The sequence below is a fragment of the Homo sapiens genome, chromosome 8, assembly GCF_000001405.40.
Source record: "Homo sapiens chromosome 8, GRCh38.p14 Primary Assembly".
NCBI lineage: Eukaryota > Metazoa > Chordata > Mammalia > Primates > Hominidae > Homo > Homo sapiens.
This window is the reverse complement of record NC_000008.11, coordinates 17,881,283-17,902,556: the sequence shown is the minus strand read 5'-3', so window position 1 is coordinate 17,902,556 and position 21,274 is coordinate 17,881,283. Positions and strand designations below refer to the sequence as shown.

General features: G+C 36.5%; 1 protein-coding gene across 5 annotated transcripts in view; it reads left to right on the top strand.

Moving 5' to 3' along the window:
- The first annotated feature begins 7,018 nt into the window (after positions 1–7,018).
- Positions 7,019–21,274, top strand: part of FGL1 (fibrinogen like 1) — a 31,150-nt gene continuing 16,894 nt past the window's right edge. The window contains exons 1-4 of one of the 5 annotated variants that reach the window (NM_201552.1): positions 7,019–7,110; positions 10,750–10,876; positions 16,986–17,065; positions 20,378–20,558. In NM_201552.1, the coding sequence (NP_963846.1) occupies positions 17,003–17,065; positions 20,378–20,558 (244 nt within the window). In that variant the 5' untranslated portion in view covers positions 7,019–7,110; positions 10,750–10,876; positions 16,986–17,002. Of the gene's footprint in view, positions 7,111–7,152; positions 7,333–10,749; positions 10,877–16,985; positions 17,066–20,377; positions 20,559–21,274 lie in introns of those variants that run through there. The other 4 variants (NM_201553.1, NM_004467.4, NM_147203.2 and 1 more) reach the window with 4 other exon arrangements.

Sequence of the window (21,274 nt, the reverse complement as noted above, 5' to 3'; positions counted from 1 at the left end):
AGTAAATTTGGGAATCTTAGTAAAATGAGTTTAGGGGCATTGTATTGTCTGCATCAACGTTCACTGCATCCACATTTCACAAATAGTTCTACATTATTAAGAATAACATCATGACTCTTTCATTCGTTCTGTAAAGAATGATGCAGCAGGCTGGACATGGTAGCTTCCTAATCTAACATTGGAATTATCTTCATGAAATGATGTATTATCTTTGGTTGTACATTGCTGCCTCACTCTTTTTTTTGAGACAGGGTCTTACTCTGTTGCCCAGGCTGGAGTGCAATGGTGTGATCTTGCCTCCACCTCCCAGGTTCAAGTGATCCTCCTGCCTCAGCCTCCCTAGTAGTTGGGATTACAGGCACCTGCCACCACAGCTGGCTGTTTTTGTATTTTTAGTAGAGATGGGATTTCACCATGTTGGCCAGACTGGTCTCAAACTCCTGACCTCAGATGATCCACACGTCTTGGCCTCCTAAAGTGCTGGGATTACAGGTGTAAGCCACCAATCCCAGGAGCCAGCCTGCTGCCTCCTTCTTTACAGAACGAATTAAACAATCATGACATTGTTTCAAGACAGAAGGAAACGAAAATTTATCGCATATTTTCTATCAGGCATTGTCATAAGCACTTCATGTAAGTTATCAAGTTTAATCGTTACCAATTTTGAATATTTACATTATATGCTAATACAAATAGGTGATATTACTATTCCATGCATAATAAATATTTCTGAGCTTCTATTGTGTGGTGTGCATATGCTGGGTGCTGTGGATATTGAAATAAGAAAAAACAAGCCCCTGATCTCCCTGGAATGAAAAGAGAAGCTCCAGTACACAATATAGTGATGTGTGATATAAGAGAAGTAAATACATAGGAGAACATCTAGCCTTGGTGGATGGGCTAGGAGAAGGGCTGGTGGCTAATTAAGACTTATTTCATTCAGAGAGGGTACATAGAAATTAGAATAGGCAAATAAAAAGGTAACAACTATATACATCACAGCAATAGAAAAGGGTACATGTATTATGGTTAATTCATTGGTGAAAGAGTCATTGGAGATGCAGTCTTAGGCTTGCCGAGCATCTTTATTGAGCCAGGCAATCTTCCATTAAACTGGACAGATCCCCACCTTTCATTTCTCTTGAAATTTCCTAATTTTGTAGTAGGAGAATGGCACATACTATGGAGCTTTTCTTGCTCACAACAGATCACCCAGCAGCCACATTTGACAAAAATTTTGGGGCCAGGGAGTAAAGGTGTGGCCTCAGTGTGTGGGTGCCATATATCTAGGTGTACACTGAAATACACAGATGGCTGGGTGTGGTAGCTCACGCCTGTAATCCCAGCACTTTGGTAGGCCGAGGTGGGCGGATCATGAGGTCAAGAGATCGAGACCTCCTGGCCAACATGGTAAAACCCCATCTCTACTAAAAATACAAAAATTAGCTGGGCATGGTGGTGCATGCCCAAGTCCCAGCTACGTGGGATGCTGACGCAGGAGAATTGCTGGAACCCGGGAGGTGGAGGTTGCAGTGAGCTGAGATTGCACCACTATCCTCCAGCCAGGCAACAGAGTGAGACTCTGTCTCAAAAAAAAAAAAAAGAAAGAAAGAAAGAAGAAAGAAAGAAAGAAAAAGAAAGAAAGAAAGGAAAGGAAAGGAAGGAAGGAAGGAAGGAAGAAAGAAAGAAAAAGAAAAAAACAGAAAGAAATACCGATGACTGGGCTAATTGGATTCTCCCTCTTAGGGATGTGAGATTTGTATGGACAGACACAGAGGCCAGAATTCCACTGAAATTAAAACATTTTAAGGGCTGCATACTACAGAATAAATCCAAGAACACATCTTTGAGAGATTTTTGGAGCTTTCCTTATTCTGCCTTCCCTTGGCTTGTATCAGTCTGTCACTGATTGTACTACTTACCTCAGTCCGTAACCCTCCAACAAATCCAATTATTTTTGTTCTAGATGGCTGAAGTTCATTTCTTCAGATTATAAACAACAACAACAAATAAAACTAGTATAAGTGTATGACTCTCAAATAGGGCCTCAATATTTCAGAATCTTTGATCGCTGGAGTCAAGCACACAATGTCTATTCTAAAAGTTCTAGAATTTTTCCACAATGTGTCTCTGAGGGGGAAGCAGGAAAAAAACATTTCAGTCTCAGAGGAATCATTTTGTAGTATACTCTTGGTCATGCCTATAGGAGTCAGGGACCTAGCCTTTGTTTTTGAGGGAGTTCTAGTTATTGGCAAAGTTATCCAAGTGCAAATATAAATTTTTAAATGTAAATTTTAAAGGTTTCATATGCCCGGTTATTGTCCCAAATGCACATGCAGAAAAATAAGTTGTGCCTGATGAACTAAATGTGGGCTAACCAACAGATTAATCAGAAAGTATGTGTAATTGTAGACAATGAATTTTTTTGTCTCTCAACCTAATGTACAGTTATTTTGAAGTGAAAGGAAACTATATCTCAGGGAATTATATTTAGATTGTCTTCCTTTTTCTAAGAAATAAAAACTGAGTAAAAAAAAGACAAAATTTAAATTCAAATGGGCAAATATATTTTTGTCAAATGTATATTTTTACATTTTCTGCTAGAGTTCAGAAATTTTGTCAGAATAGCTTGCAACCCTGAGGATTCTACTTTCAGATATTGTCATAGTGGTAGGAATCACGCATTTTCCAATTAGTTGAATTCTTCATGAAAAGATAATATTTTAAAAGTCTAAAAACTGGAGAAAAGAGGTACATATAGAGACTGGATTTAGGCATCAGGATGAAAAGATACACTGCAAATTCATCCAAAAAAAAAAAAAAAAAAGCAGATACATCATCACCGAGGAGTAGAATGAAAGCAAGTATCTTCTGATACCTTCCATCTTCCGTGTTCCTAAAGGCGTATTTTAAAATGTGGTTTTACTTAACACGAGCTCTTGTGTTCTTTTTTCCCTACATATTTTTATACAATATAGCTAAATTTCTTCTTCATGTGTTACGGGTAAAAAATCTGTTTTCTATTAGAATTTACGTGTATTTGGTTAAAATTGTTTTTTTAATGACATGTGACCTTCTGGGGAGATTCTTCTTTAATAAGAAAGATGTTATTATTCAGAAGCATAAAATAAATGCCAGTCCACAGTCCTTGCAAACACACAGAAAGAAAAACAAACATATTCCTCAGCAAGAACACTTTTTATTTTTTGTGGCAGAAAAAAAAAAAGAAAACATCTTTGTACTCTTCCTGCTAGGGAACCAATCTAAAATTAGTTTGAGAATCAGAGGGGAAAAAAATCCAAACACATAGGTGAGAAAGCTCTGAAAAGATGAGTAGTGAATAAGCGTTTCATTTTATCTTAACTAGTATGCAGGGGAGGACATAGGTTGTGTGGAACCTGAAGCTACACATTTGGGAGTATCTGCCAAATGTCTATCAGTATTACTTTTTACATGCCTCATGTAGCAGGCCTAGAGGGAGAGCAATCCAGATGTGAGCAAAAGAACAGAGAGCTCTGGGAGGAAGAAATAATGGTGCAGTGACAAAATTCCTTCTGAGGCATTCGACTTTCCTGTCCAGGAGCCTCAGAGTTACAGGCAGAGTTCAATCATAGAAGCAGAGCTTCTAGGATATATAAGGGATTTGACTTAATGCAACTGTGGGAGCTGGTTAAGTACTCTTTGAAAGGCAGCTGTCTCCAGGGATGATGTTGGAGCTTGAAGTACGAACTGCAGTTAAGCGAGAGAGTAGATGAGCGTAATAGAAGCAGGAGCTGGAATCTATGAGGACGGACTGAAACCTGTGTCAGTTCTTGTTGCCTCTGACCTTGGTTGATGTGGGTGTCCTACAGAAGCCAGACCCATTTGTAATGTGCTAAACGAGGCTCCAAATTATATCCAAAGGGAAGTGAAACAGCTGGAGGCTTAGCCACTATCTTAAGGCCAACGAGATACGTTACAGCATGGGAGAGCTGCAAAGATGGCTGCCACTTCCTTTCTGCCTGCCAACTGCTCCTAATGGAAAACATAAGGCAAAAGGAATTCTGGGAACTGTAGTTCGGCCTACCCAAGTTGACACATTACAAAGCACCTCAATTTTTCTTTTCTTCCTCTTTTTCTTTATCCACCTTTACCCTTATTTTTCTAGTTCATATTGTCAGAATCTTTCCCAGAAAGTGTGTGTGAAGGTGGAACTATTTATTGATCATCTATTAATGTAAACTTTCTGCTAGTTACATCAATAATGGGAATACTTAGGATAACTCACTAGTAAAACTGTTTTAGTTTTATTAATTTTAAAATGCTTCTCCATTGAAATTTCTGAGACCTACGTTATGTGCAAATAAACTTTCTAGTTTTTCAGGACTCTGCCTGAGATGACATTGAAACCAGCATTTCAGGAAGGAATTTGATTACCTCCACCTGAGGAAGCTCTGCTAGTTGTGTGGAACGAAGACTGTTCTTAACAACCCCTTTCCTTGATATCTACAATACGCTCCGTTCTAAATATTTTAATAAAGGGCACATTTGAAGTTTAAAATGTTATCATTGTAATCAGAGCATGGAGTTTTATAAGTCCCATAAAAGGGTGCCTCCTGAACTGGGAGTCAAGTTTGGAAAATATAACCATCAGAAATTTATGCTGGTAGAATACAGTCAAGGATATAAGATCATTTGTCTGAGTCTAGTTCCTCATGCAGCCTTAAGTAGACATGTTCCTCGCTGCAAGCTTGAGTGGACTGGAGGCGGCAAGATCTGGAATTAAACCTTCCCACGGTGACTGGGTCAAGTATCAAATAATGGACAGGTGTTCAATCTGGCAGGCACAATACAGGGTCCAGAGGGTTTGGATGAAAATTGTGCTGTAACTGATGTATTAATTGAAGAGTTCTCTGAAAAAGGTCTTCCAAAAGGAAAAGGAAAAAAGAATTGACAGTGTCCGTTTAATGTGTTTGAGAGCCTAATCAGCCTGATCTTGGTGGGACTGTACTTGTTGTCCTATTATATCATGCTTTTCTTGTACTTTTTTCAGCCAGTGATCTCAGGTCTCATTCTCATTTCATAGCTTTGGTGCAGTTGTGCAAGGTCACAACTCTTCTTTCTTGCTTTTTTTCTTTTTCTTTTTTTTTGACAGGGTCTTGCTCTGTCACCCAGGCTGCAGTGCAGTGGCGCGATCTCGGCTCACTGCAATCTCTGCCTCCTGGGTTCAAGTAATTCTCCTCCTCAGCCTCCTGTGTAGCTGGTACCACAGACGCCCACCACCACACCTGGATAATTTTTGTAGTTTTAGTAGAAACTAAAAATACATGGGGTTTTGCCATTTTGGCCAGGCTGGTCTCGAACTCCTGACCTCAGGTGATCCACCTGCCTCAGCCTCCCAAAGCGTTGGGATTACAGGCGTGAGCCACCGCACCTGGCCATAATTTTGACCTTTCCTGATGATAGTTCTTCCACCATGTTATGGCAGTACATCCATGGAATAATGTTACTCCAAGAAAATTTGGCTTTTGGAATTCCTCCACAAAGTATTGGCCCTAGAGTAGTCCTTACTGCCTGATTAACTTTTGCAAGTTTCTCCTGAGGTAATGATGCTAGCCAAGTTTCCGAAAGACAGCATAGTCTACCTTTAGTAGAAAAGAGGACAGATTCTGAGCAGGATTGCCTTTGAGCCCAGCTATACCTCTTGTTAGCTGTGTGACCTCGTGCAAGTCACTTAAACCTCTGTGTCTCAGTTTCGTCATTTGTGAAATGGAGATCATTAACAGTACCTACTTATAGGGCTGTGTGGCTGAGTGAGTTGATAAAATTACCATGTTTAGCACATGATAAGTATACCACATGTTAGCTGCTGTTAATGTTATGTCCCTCCAGTGAGGAAATGAACACAAGGCTAAATTATTGCTTGAATGGGGACAAAGCTAAAGGCATACAAGAAGGAAAGATAAGTTTGTATTTCAAAATATGTCATTTTACCACAGAGATCATTATTGAATTAGCCGAATAATCCCATATTTTTGCTTTTGAAATTTAACATTAGCAGCTTGAATTCTCTACAATTATGAATGTATAATTTCCACTTCTTCTGTGTGTGTGCAAATCACTTCAGTCTAACTGGCTTTTTTTTTCCTTCTTTTTTCCAGTAAATCAACAGGATTACCTTTCCCTTAATAATCTTCAAAATGTCCACGTGAAGGACAGGAAGATGTTTAATGGGAAGACCAAACATCGTCAGTGCTCAAGTCCAGTAGATAACAAAGAACAGAAAGAAAACAAAACTTTGGTATTTTACTGGAATCTGAGTGAATAAATAGGGACCACAGGACAAATGGCAAACAACTGCTTGAGTTACATCAGAAGGAAAGAAGAAATGATGAACCCAGATTTCCAGTAAGAAACTGTTACACAATACGATTAATGGAGCTAACAAGTGCCTATTACACATTAGAAAATCTTCTAGAGGATTTTAAAACAAAAGGAACAACTTGTCCAGAGTATAATCGATGCTTCCAGTTAAATTTCACAATTTTGCACCTCAGGGAATACTTTTGTTTTTCTTAGAGAGCAAATAAACTGACCATTTCACCTTGGCAATTATTAACCTGCCTTGTTTTTTATAACTAGGAAAAATTTGGCTTATCTCCATATTTTAGTTGAGATGACATATTAATTCATATTTTTGTGGGTAAAATGTTATTACCCTTAATACAAAGCAAAGTTTCAGCTGGACTTCGTTTTTACTTAATCTTCAATGGAACATTATTGAAGTTACAGTACAAAAATTCTCTGAATGAACATAATAATAAGTTGTAAAATATATATATCTTTATAAAGATATATTATTGGATCTTTCACAAAAAGTCATACAAGTGGGGAAAAAAGAAAAATATCAGAGTATTGGGATTTGTCCTTGAATCTTCTCTTTTAGCTTTCTTTCAGTTAAACCTGTGTCCACATGTTTGTTTCTGGATTGAAGCCAGAATCAACATTGTCCCTATTTCTAATCAAATAATGGAGAAATAATTACAAATTCCCAATGCAGTTACAGGATCCTGGGAAGCAGAGTGTCTGGATGGAACCTGAGCTGGGTCTCTGACTCACTTCTGACTTTAGGCAAGTTATTTAATGTCTCTGCATTTTTGACATGCTTGTAATAATGCTAATTTATTTCACAGGTATGATAGTAACCAAAACTCAGGTAACAACCATTAGCTTTTGCAAGAAGTCAGGTTGACTAGCAAGGAGTCTGCTTCTGCTACTTGGAGAAGAGATTTAGAATTATGTATCTTTTGTTACAGATATACAGATATACAAATATACAGATATACAAATAAGGTATGTTAGAATTACAAATGAGGAAAATGGAAAATTTTAGAGAACTTAAGATATTCTCAGGAATTATTCTAAAGCTAATCAAAGTAATATAATGACTTTCTAAATATGTATAATTACATTTTGAAATGCTTTATTGTTTATATGCTACCAGACTAGGGGGTGCCTTTTTGATTATTGGATTATCTTAATGGTAATGAGATGAACATTTCAGGACATCAAGAGACAGAGGCCTGTCAAAAAAATTTCATTAGCCCTTTATTTTTTACTAAATCTAATGCTAAGCAATATTTATATACCTTATATAATGTATATATAATCTATAATATATACATAATTATGTATAATAATGTTACGTACATACATATACATATATATACAGTGTGCGCAGGTAAAATTATATGATATATAGGTGCATCACCCAGAGCATTTTCAAAACATACTTCCATTTATGCAAGAGCCAGAATCAAACATTGGAATAAGAAAATTTCTTTTTTAAGCTCTAGGCGTTTTTTGTTGTTGTCGTTTGTTTGTTGGTTTTTTGAGATGGAGTCTCACTTTGTATAATTTCCTTTACATTTTGAATGAATTGCATGGGAGTTTGACGTAAATGATAGGTTTACAGTTTCAGTATAAAAAATTAAAAATAAAATGGACTATATGACAATTTTCACTTCAGAAGTCAAAAAACTTCAGAAACATTTTTCTTTATTGCATTTCTTGAGGGATCAACTATATTTAGCTTTGTAAGGCTTTCAGTGAGTATGGATTCTTAAGAAAAATACAAAAGCACAGTTATATTCCATTTTCAGAAAGAGGAAAAAATTTGGAAGGAAATAGCTTAAAAGGAGTCTCTAAGCTTGTGTTTATGGGTACATTTTTAACTCACTGACTTAGGTTATAGTCCTAAGCATTATAGTCCTATAGCGTTTGTGAATGCTAACTTATTAAACATACTTCGTTCAATAACTTTTTCCTTCCTTTTTATTTCTTTTATATATCCTTTTACAATGCTTGCTTAAAACATACCAGTTTTGAAATGTTTGCATGCTACTAATGTACTTCTGTTTTGTAATTGTTTTTAAAAATTATATATTATTTTTAGAACTTTTCATTTACAAATTTAATGTCTTCATCTTTAAATTTAATGCAGCGTAATTAATTAAATTTTTTTTAAATATAGTGGGGAAGGAATTAGAATTTATAGCATTAAAATTATGTAAAATAATATAGTCCACCAAAGAACAGCCATTTGATAACAATTTTAATTTTATAATAATTAAAAGTTTTGATACTGCCTAAGGCAAAAATATTATAAAAGAAATACAACTAATTGTGCAATAAATGAACAGAATAATTTGATACAACTTTACTGTAAGCCAGATGTGCAGAAGAAATAATGGTTTACTATAATGAATGATGGAGACCAGAATTTCAAAGCAAGTTTCTTAATGCTTAGCATTTCTTCAATATTACAGAGAATGTTGGTTAGAATTGCAAAGGAGGAAAATGGAAAATTTTAGAGAACTTAAGATATTCTCAGGAATTATTCTAAAGCTAATCAAAGTAATATAATGACTTTCTAAATGTAAATAATTACATTTTGAAATGCTTTATTGTTTATATGCTACCAGACTAGGGGGTGCCTTTTTGATTATTGGATTATCTTAATGGTAGTGAGATAAACATTTCAGGACATCAAGAGACAGAGGCCTGTCAAAAAAATTTCATTAGCCCTTTATTTTTTACTAAATCTAATGCTAAGCAATATTTATATACCTTATATAATGTATATATAATATAATCTATAATATATACATATTATGTATAATAATGTTATGTTCATACATATACGTATATATACAGTGTGCGTAGGTAAAATTATATGATATATAGGTGCATCATTCAGAGCATTTTCAAAACATACTTCCATTTATGCAAGAGCCAGAATCAAACATTGGAATGAGAAAATTTCTTTTTTAAGCTCTAGGTGTTTTTTGTTGTTGTTGTTTGTTTGTTTGTTTTTTGAGATGGAGTCTCACTCTGTCACCCAGGCTGGAGTGCAGTGGTGTGATCTTGGCTCACTGCAACCTCTGTCTCCCAGGTTCAAGCAATTCTCATGCCTCAACCAACACAGTAGCTGGGATAAAAGGTGTGTGCCACCACACCTGGCTAATTTCTTTGTATTTTTAGTAGGGACGGGGTTTTGCCATGTTGGCCATGCTGGTCTCAAACTCCTGACCCAAGTGATCTGCCTGCCTCAGCCTCTCAACGTGCTGGGATTACAGGCATGAGCCACCACGCCTGGCTAAGCTCTAACTTTTTAAGCTAATTTATTCACTTCTGAAATAAAGTACTTGATCCCACAAATGCATAAGAAAACTTTAATCAAATAAAAAAATTTTTCAACAAATAACATTAAAGCAAAGTCTAGAAGATACAGACATTTCATGATTTTTAATTTTTGACTCCTGAATATTATCTGGGAGCGGATTAAAATAATGAAAATTTGTTTCCTGTCACATAAAAAAAGAGGACATTATTTTTACTACTAATCCTTAGCAGTTTCATTTATCAAGGAAAAATCCTAATCAGTAATCTATTAAATACATTGGTTATTTTCAGTCAGAAGAACAATTTGAGTTGGAGTCACAAATAAATGGTATTTATGTCATGTCGTTATGCTGATTTCCCAGACTAGTGTAAATATACTTAGTGAAAGTCTCTTTTATTTCTTTAGGCAAACAATTTTCCCTCTCTGAGCCTCTAGTGTTGATGATATTTGACTGAATGATGTCACTTCCTCTAATTATATTTTCTCTGCATGTTCTAGTCTCGGGGAACAAGGCTATTTCTAAAATCTCTTTATATTTTTTAAATATTTTGTTTTCCATCTTTATTTTCTTTTGCTTCCTTATAATAAAATGTTTTTGTTTCTTATTTTCTGTAACATGAAAAATACTTTATGACTGTATGTCTGTGACTATGCAATTGTTTATGTTTAAGAAATTGCCATTTGCATAAGGGCATTTATTTTTTTCCTTTATGCTACTTGAGTTTTGTGATAAATTTTAAAATTAGATAGTTAAAGACACAAGGGTACAAATTTAAAAAGCAACATAGCTATTATAATTTTGCTCAAAAAACATATTTATTGCCAACTGAAAACACGAGTCAAACTAAAAACTTATTATGAGATAGCTATGGTAATGACCTTGGCCCAGTGAGAGAGCCAACTTTCAAATATCTTAGGTATTATGTTTTCAGGTATATATTTTCTTTTGGGATTTTATAAATCCAAATGTCTCTTTTAAAACCAAAATAAGCTGTTACATATTGACATGACATATTTGCAAATCACAAAAAAGTTTATGAAAAGCATAATTCATTAAGAGTAGTTATTTTTGTTGTTGCTGGAAGGGTGAAGATGGAGGGAATCTGATAAAGACATCTTATAAATTCAACAGACACAAAAGAATTTGATCTCCCATAAGCAACTGTGAAATTACAATAACAGATCCTGGGAAGTTCTACAATTCTAATTCAGGTTTACAAGTTTTCTTCTCATCTATTCAGTAGATATTTTGTCGAGTACCTGTGCTAGGTTCAGCTGTGCCCCCAAAACATGTACATTCCTAACTTTTATTACCTGTGAATGTGATCTCATTTGCAAATAGGGTCTTTGTACATGTAACTGAGTTAAGATGAGGTCATACTGGATTAGGGCAGACCCTAATCCAATGACCGATGTCCTTATATGAAGAGGGAAATTAGACACAGAGACACACAGAGGAAAGACAGCTATGTGAAGATGGTATCAGAGAATAGAGTGATACTGCCACAAGTCAAAGGATGTCAAGAATTGCTGGCAACCACCAAATGCTAGAAGAGTCCAGAAAGGATTTTCTCTTAGAGCCTTTGAAGGAAGTATGGCCCTGTTCTTCTTGATTTTGGACTTGTATCCTCCAGAACTGTGAGATAATAAACTCCTGTTGTTTTAGGCCACTCAGTTTATGGTAATTTGTTATGGTGGCCTCAAGAAACTAGTACAGTACCTAACTATCCACCTAGCATTAGGGCAGTATACATAATAGATGTAGCCACTCACCTCTTCGTGCTTACATTGTACAGGGCGGTTGGAGTAGGTAGACAATAAACACATATATTATAATATTTCATTATATTTGGTGATAAGTGCTAAGGAGAAACTGAATCCATTGTGATAGAGATATGAAGTGTGTGGGTGATGTTGTTTGCGTGTGTCTCCACCCAAATCTCATCTTGAATTGTAGTTCTCGTAATCCCACATGTTATGGGATGGACCCAGTGGAAGGTAATTGAATCATGGGGGCAGCTACCCCCATGCTGCTGTTTTCGTGATAGTGAGTTCTCCTGAGATCTGATGGTTTTATAAGGGGCTTTTGCTTGGCTCTTCCCCTTCCTGCCATCATGTGAAGAAGGACATGTTTGCTTCCCCTTCCACCACGACTGTAAGTTTCCTGGGGCCTCCCCAGTCATGGCAAACTGTGAGTCAATTAAACCTTTTTCCTTTATAAATTACCCAGTCTCAGGCAGATCTTTACTGGGTAAATTTATAAAATGAGAATGGACTAAGACAGTAGGGGACAGCTGTTATTTTATATGTGGTAGTCAGGGAAGGTATCTCTGGGAAGGGAATACCTGAGCAAAGACCTGAAGGATGTCATGGAGCAAACCACAGAGATTTTCAGAAGAGCATTCCAGGTAGAGAGAACAGCAAGTGCAATCGCCCTGAGAAGTCTGTGTATTTCAGGGTTTTCCAAAAATGCCAAAGAGGCCAATGTAGCCAGAACAGGCAAAAATGATGGGAAAAGAGATGTGTTGAGGAGGTGGATGCTCACAGATTATGTAAAGCTTTGTCGGTGAATGACCAAATATCCCGGTTTGCCCAGGAAAGGCTCAGTATAGAATGTTGTCTCATTGTAATTCTAAAAAATTGTTTGGAATCTTCCATTGGTAGCTTGGGCCAGACATTAGCAATAGAGGTGGTGAGAAATGATTGGATGTTGTATAAATTTTGAACGTAGAGTCTTTCCTTAGGAAAGTTACTTTGCTTCACTATTTGAGCTTCCTTTAGTAAAAAGTAAACATAATGTGTCTTCTAAAGACATCGTGAGATTTCATGTGTTGATGATGTATTAGCAATTTTGTAAACATATTTTAAATGGCACACATTAATGTATTAACATGGGAGGCAGCATTGATATAAAAACAGGTTCTTGCCAATTTGTTCTCTCTCTGATCAAGTAAGCTGCAAACAGTATATTTTGAACCTATTTTTTTGGTATTCATTGTAGTATAAATGGTTATAATGATTTTCAAGTGTGTTCTTCCTATCTAAACAATATGCATTAATTTGAAACAATGAAATTGCCATTTTTCTAAGTCAGAAATGTTCAAACATCTGCCATTTCTTATAGTTCAACATAATACAGTAAGAAAGGATTAACCAGGCAATAAAGAAAGAGGTTCAGGAGATTTGGGAGATATTCCCAGGGGATATCCCCAGAGGCTGAATGGTCCTGGAGAAATCATAAGCATCCTTGTGCTTGTTTTCTTATTTTCACTGTGAGGCTAATGAAATAAAATAAAATGGCCAATTAAAATTTGATAGTGTTTTGATAGTGTTGTTGTTGTTTGAGGTGGAGTGTCGCTCTGTCACCCAGGCTTAACTACAGTGAGACAATCTCAGCTCACTGCAACCTCCGCCTCCCAGGTTCAAGTGATTCTCATGCTTCAGCCTCCCGAGTAGCTGGGATTACAGGTGTGCACCACCACACCTGGCTAATTTTTGTATTTTTAGTAGCGATGGAGTTTTATCATGTTGGCCAGGCTGGTCTTGAACTCCTGGCCTCTGGCGATCCTCCCACTTCGTCCTCCCAAAGTGCTGAGATTACAGGCGTAAGCCACCACGCCCAGCCAAAGTTCGGCAGAGTGTTTAGTGATGCCCAAACACAAACACAATATGGTTTCAGATGAGTATTCCTTATTTTTCCAATCCACGTTAGACTTGGGGAAATAGCCCTTGTCCCCTTGATGATGGGCCCTTTAATGTAAGTAATATTGCAGCCTTGCAGAGGTACATTCTACTTGAATGGCTAGCTCATTTTTATATAATGCCCCAGGCCACGCAGGCTGCTTGGCATCTTTGTGGAACTACGCTTACTGTCCCATCAAGCCTGTTTAGCAATTATTGTGTGTCATTATTAAAATATTATTCTCTTATTGTGAAGAAAAGATACTAAAGCATGCTGTAGGTCAGTCATTTTCTAGTGACAGGGATTAGAGGACTAGAATCCATTCAATTTTTAAAACTTTACCTACGAATAGTTAGAAAATATATGCTTGAAATAATCTCATTCTAGTTTATTGTTATTGTTTATTTTCTAAGCCTTCTTTACAAATATATTTTCCCACTGTAATTCAGTTTAAATGGATGGTTTTTACTTCTTAATAAAATTATTGACTATTGATTTATATCTGATACAATCCTTTGTAGTATTCAATGCTGATGTTGAAAAAATTCAGCCACAATGAATAAGGAGTGTTCCCAAGGACCCTCAGACAAAAAAAGAAAAACAAAAGAAAACATGAAACTACCCCCAGGATCGGAATGAAAATGTATTTGCTCCTAACATCAGATGTCTTCGGTTTAGAATACTTATTTCAACTTGAAATTTTCTTAATTTGTAGACATAATCTTGACATCTGGGAATAAGAGATTTAGGACACTACTGCATTGCAAATGATGACTCTTTAGTGCAGTCAATGTTTTTATCTTAAAGAAAATGATTTTACCTTTCATGACAATAATAAATGTGACCTAGAAAAGTGTTCCTTAAATAATTCCAAGCTTATTATATTAATTAGCGAATATTAATTGATAGCAAACCTAATCATCTTTTCTTCTAATTTGGTCACGACTTCTGTTCCTTTGCAATCCTATTCTCACCCCATTTTATCTTTTATAAAAATACACAGAGGGTGTCTCTTTTTCACATTGGTAAATGTTTTAAATATCAGAAAGTTAATTTTCTCTATTTTTAACATAAGCAAATATTTTAATATAATCAATTATATTTAATACATTACATATAAAAACATCTACTATTTCTATTACTGGGCCTAAGATTACTATTTCTATCACTGGGCCTAAGACTACTATTTCTATCACTGGGCCTAAGATAGGTACATACTCAATATACAATTGAATTTTAAAGAAAAAATATTTACTAAGATAAAATAAAGAGTGAAATGCCAGAGTTCTTATAAATTGTTGCTACAAATTATATCATATGTTTAAAAGGATAACTTTAATGGAAAAATGGGTCTAGAGATACTTTTTTTTTTTTTTGAGATGGAGTCTCGCACTGTCACCTGGGCTGGAGTGCAGTGGCGTGATCTCGGCTCACTGCAACCTCCACCTCCCAGGTTCAAGCAATTCTCCTGCCTCAGCCTCCCAATTTGCTGGGATTACAGGCACCCACCACCACACCTAGCTAATTTTTTGTATTTTTATAGAGACAGGGTTTCACTATGTTGGCCATGCTGGCCTCAGTGATCCGCCCGCCTCGGCCTCTCGAAGTGCTGGGATTACAGGTGTGAGCCAACACGCCCGGCCCATCTTGGTTATTTTGTTCACAGTGTTGGGTGAAAGGGTTAAGTCATGACTAATTGCTATCATATGAATTTCTGCCCAGTGTTGTAATACAGAAATTTGGTGTTTCTCTTTAGACCATTTGATGTGGACAGAGAATGAAATGTAAAATATGCCTCTCTTCAGAAAGAAGACTTACGTTGAAAGAAATAAGCAGAATAGTGTGCCTATACCTTTTATACCTCTCCCAGGTGCATGAAGGAGGCTTCCCAACTGGTGGGATTCTTTGGAGAGCGATCAGTCAAGGAAAAGCCTCCTTTGATGGAGAATCCTCCAATGTCAGTCTCTGAAGATCTTTTCGGTGAAGCTCTGCTGTTCCTCCAGCGAGGAATCCTATGTTCTTTGGCCTGGAAAGTGGTAGGAAGAGTGTAGAGCCGGTTGCCTGGCTGCAAGAGAAGAAGCCTGGGAAAGCCTCACCCTTTTTGAACAGGGTCTCTCTCCTCCCCTCCAGCACTTCTGCTGTCATGTCACCTGGAGCATCTCTGGGCAATCTTAATAGAAAGTAAATCTTCCATATTCTGAAAGGGTACGAGAAGCAGCATTCACCTGGCTGCACAGGATTTAGATGAGGATCTGACTGTTAGCCCATTTGCCTCTACCTTCACTTCCAAGCTAGCAGTGCCTCCAATCCAGAATCCCCTAGGGTGCTACACTGTGACTTCTCTCGCTTCTCATGGTGCTCCTCTCTACTGCTGCTTTGCCAATTCCCCTACTTCTCTTCTCTCCTCTCCTCTCCTCTCCTCTCCTCTCTTCTCCTCTCATTTCGTTTCTTTCTAGACAGGGACTCACTCTGTCACCCAGGCTGGAGTGCATTGGCACGATCTCGGCTCACTGCAACCTCCATCTCCCGGGTTCAAGCAATTCTCCTGCCTCAGCCTCCCGAGTGGCTGGGAGTACAGGCGCCCACCACCACGCCTGGCTAATTTTTGTATTTTTAGTAGAGACAGGGTTTCGCCATGTTGACCAGGCTGGTCTCGAGCTCCTGACCTCGAGTGATCTGCCCACCTCGACCTCCCAAAGTGCTGGGATTACAGGCGTGAGCCACCGCACCAGGCCCCCCACATGCCTTTTTATCATCTACCAACTTGCTGACATTGCACACTAGCTGTTCTTTCCCTTTCTCTTTGACTTTGTCAGTTCGCATCTTTTAAACTTTTTCTTCACTCATTTTCTAGTGGGCTTTGTGAGAAGGAAAAAATTAAATTCATGTGTTCAATCAAACCAAAAGTCCCCAACTCCTTCTTAACTCTTACCTTCAAAACTATACTTAGCCCATTGTTTTCCAGTAAAAGAGGAAAGTATGTCAGTATAAACAGACTGTAGTTTAAAGCAAGGAAATTACATTTTTCCCTCTGAGAACGATTTTGCCTCCTGAGGAATAATTCCGTAGAAGCAACAACAGTTATTGGGGTCACCACAAGAATTAAATGCTAGGGATACCAAAATTAGCAAGGTGTGACCTTTGCTTTCAAAAATCTTACTCTAGGCAGTGGCTCACGCCTGTAATCCCAGCACTTTGGGAGGCCAAGGCGGGAGGATCACTCAAGCCCAGGAGTTTGAGACCAGCCTCACAACATAGGGAGAAAAAGACACAAGCTCCATAAGCAGAGACCAGCGTGCAGATTTTGACTACGCCACTTCCTTGATGTGTAACATTAAATAACTGATTAAAATGCTCCTGTGCCTTTCCACAGCATAACACAAACAGCACATTAGGATAGCGAAAAGAACCAGAGTCCTTCCTCTGTTTTTGTGATGAAACAGATTCAATTCTAGTTAACACTCAGTGTCATTCTGTGTGGTGAGAGGCTGGGAAAGTCTGGGAGAATTTCCTCGGCGACTCTAAGATTAGGGATGGCCTGCGGCTGCATCCGACTTCCTGGAGCTACTGAAGTCTGAACTCTGGTCTCATGAAAAATTCAAGGTTGATACATTTATAAAATTCTTTTTGTTCTTGCAGTTTTTTCAAGGGGGAACATGGCAAAGGTGTTCAGTTTCATCCTTGTTACCACCGCTCTGACAATGGGCAGGGAAATTTCGGTAAGCTTCTTGGGAAAACTATTGTCATATTTATAATGCCTGCTTTTATCTGAATTTTCTTTCATTTTGCATTAAACCTATAGTGACTTGTCATTGAAAAAACTTAACTATGTGGGAAAAGCAAAGAGGCTGGTAGAAATACTGGACACATAGTAAAGCAGCACTTTAAAGCGCTTTACATTTTTGCAGGGGAGGCCGAGATGGGTGGATCACAAGGTCAGGAGTTCGCAACCAGCCTGGCCAATATGGTGAAACCCCATCTTTACTAAAAAAAATACAAAAAATTAGCCGGGCGTGATGGCACGCATCTGTAGTCCTAGCTACTCGTGAGGCTGAGGCAGGAGAATCCCTTGAACCCAGGAGGCGGAGATTGCAGTGAACTGAGATCATGCCACTTCACTCCAGCCTGGGCGACAGAGTGAGACTCCATCTCAAAAAAAAAAAAAGTGCTTTACATTTTTTTAAATAAAAAGTATTCATAATAAATAAGTAATTTTTAAAAATTCACTGGAGTTATTTGGTTGGAATATTAGAAATTTGAAACTGTCCATAGTAATTAAAATTAACCTTGAGCTTTTCAATATTGAAAAGTGTAAAACTAACCAGATTATTTGAAAGTAATTACATCGAACTTGTGTTGTCCTTCATTTGTGAATAAAAAAGACAAAACATTCATTCAAAGTTCTTGGAGAAAGAAAACTCCTAGGTTTTAAATAAGCTTACTAAATATGCGTATGCAATCTCATAAAGATTGGGCATACTTGACCTGTGATGTCTTCAATTATTTTAAAATTGCATAGTGCACTATGTTTAACAATATCACAACCGATCCCCCACTGTTGTAAAACAACTCAGGACCCAGACACCATAAAATGTTCTTGCTGTTCATTTTTTAGCCTATGTGACTCAAGGTGCTAAGCAAATAACTATCTCAGAAGGGATAAATCTGAGTGTTAGGGATAGAGTAACAAGAACAAATAAGAAGTAATCCTAGAGAGGCCTGGTGCAGTGGCTCACGCCTGTAATCCCAGCACTTTGAGGGGCCGAGGTGGGTGGATCGCTTGAAGCCAGAAGTTTGAGACCAGACTGGGCAACATGGCAAAACCCCATCTCTACTAAAAATACAAAAATTAGCTGGGTGTTATGGCACACAACCTGTATAGTCCCAGCTACTTGCCAGGATGAAGCACAAGAATCGCTTGAACCAGAGAGGCAGAGGTTGCAGGGAGCCGAGATCGCACCACTGCACTCCAGCCTGGGCAACAGAGCAAGACTCTGTTGAAAGAAAGAGAGAGAGAGAGAGAAGGAATCATCCTAGAAAAATGGCTGGGAGAGGTTCTGTGACTTGGACCTAGGGATGGGAAGAAAGGAAAGAAAGAAAAGAAAAGAAGGAAGGGAGGGAGGGAGGGAAGGAGAAAGAAAGGAAAAGAACAAAAGAAAAGAAAAAGAAGAGGAGAAAGAAATCATTTTAGAAAAATGGCTGGGAGAGGTTCTGTGACTTGGACCTAGGGATGGGAAGAAAGGAAAGAAAAGAAAGGAAGGAAGGAAGGGAGGGAAGGAGGGAAGGAGAAAGAGAGGAAAAGAACAAAAGAAAAGAAAAAGAAAAGAGGAGAAAGAAATCATCCTAGAAAAGATATCTGGGAGAGGTTCTGAGAAAGGAAACGTAAGGGAAGAGGAAGGGAAAGGGGAAGGGGAAGGAAAAGGGAGAAACCATCCTAGAAAAATGGCTGGGAGAGGTTCCATGACTTGGACCTAGAGATGGGAGGGAGGGGAGATGTACTACATATATATATATATAAAAAATATATATATATTATAGACTATATAAATATAAATGTATTATATATGCATATGTATTTGATATAATATATACTATATAAATCCATTATGTAATTTTATATATACGTATATTATGTATAAATATAATATATTATATAAAGTAGACTATAATATAATAAATACAATTATATTACATTATATTATATATAAATATATTTAATATATTATATATTATTTATATTTATATATTATATAATATCTATTCATTTATATTCATATATATTCATATTATATATTTTGTAATATATATTATATATTATTATTATATTGTATATTATTTTATATATTATATATTATTATTATATTATATATTATTTAATATATTATATATTATTATATGTTATTTAATATATTATATATGATATATATGATATATTATTTAATATATTATATATGATATATATTATATATTATTTAATATATTATATATGATATATATTATATATTATTTAATATATTATATATGATATATATTATATATTATTTAATATATTATATATGATATATATTATATATTATTTAATATATTATATATGATATATATTATTTAATATATTACATATGATATATATTATATATTTAATATATTACATATGATATATATTATATATTTAATATATTACATATGATATATATTATATATTTAATATATTACATATGATATATATTATATATTTAATATATTATATATGATATATATTATATATTATTTAATATATTATATATGAGATATATTATATATTATTTAATATATTATATATGAGATATATTATATATTATTTAATATATTATATATGATATATATTATATATTATTTAATATATTATATATGATATATTATATATTGTTTAATATATTATATACTATATATTATATATTGTTTAATATATTATATATTATATATATTATATATTATTTATATGCATATATAATATATATAATATATAATATACATTAAATATACATATTTAAAAGTATTTATACCAGACAGCCATTCAAAAACCTCATTTATTATGGAGATTTACATGCCAACAGTACAATTAACTTCTATAAACCACATTACTGTTTAGAAAACACATAAGCAATGTCATATAGAGATTGAGAGCACAGTCCTTGAACTGAATTTGAATCCCACCTCCGCTTACCCACTGGGCATCAAGACTGAGCCCTTTCCTACCGCATGGAATTGTTATGAGGATCAAAGGAGACAACTATAAAGCTCCTAGCATAGCGATTCCAATTATTTTATATTATTTGATCTTTTGAGTCCAGGAGTTTTCGCATAAGCCATAATTTCCAATTCTTCAAATAGTAGGCAGTATTAGAACTTTTCAAGCCACTTTCTCTTTGGAATAATATTCTGAAATGGGAACTGGAGACAAAATGGAATCACTGATTTATCCAAATGTTTAAAAAGCACTTGTTTTCCATGAAAATGAGGTGCATACTCATCTCATCTCACCTGTTTTGCAGGCGCTCGAGGACTGTGCCCAGGAGCAGATGCGGCTCAGAGCCCAGGTGCGCCTGCTTGAGACCCGGGTCAAACAGCAACAGGTCAAGATCAAGCAGCTTTTGCAGGAGAATGAAGTCCAGTTCCTTGATAAAGGAGATGAGAATACTGTCATTGATCTTGGAAGCAAGAGGCAGTATGCAGGTCAGAATGGACTTTTCTTAAGTGTTTCTATAACTTACATTATGCACCCATGTACAGTGATGGTGCTAGTTATTTCAGGCTTTTCCTATTTCAGTAACAAGCAATATGAAGCATTATATCTATTGTAAATGTCTTCTTTCACACTTTACTTTTTTTTTTTTTTTTGAGGCGGAGTCTTGCTCTGTCGCCCAGGCAGGAGTGCAGTGGTGCAATTTTGGCTCACTGCAAGCTCCGTCTACCAGGTTCACACCATTCTCCTGCCTCAGTCTCCCGAGTAGCTGGGACTACAGGTGCCCACCACCAGGCCCGGCTACTTTTTTTGTATTTTTAGTAGAGGCAGGGTTTCACCATGTTAGCCAGGATGGTCTCGATCACCTGACCTTGTGATTCGCCTGCCTCGGCCTCCCAAAGTGCTGGGATTACAGGCGTGAGCCACCGTGCCCAGCCGACACTTTACTTTTTTCTATCTCTGCCAGGGCATTTAATGTGAATGCTAAATATCTGAGAATTTATATCATTTAATAAGAAATCAGGACAATAGATTGTTTAAATACTGATGGACACAGCCAAGTGCGGTGGCTCACGCCTGTAATCCCAGCACGTTGGGAGGCCTAGGTGGGCGGATTACAAGGTCAGGAGATCTAGACCAGCCTGGCCAATATGGTGAAACCCCATCTCTACTAAAAATACAAAAATTAGCTGGGCGTGGTGGCAGG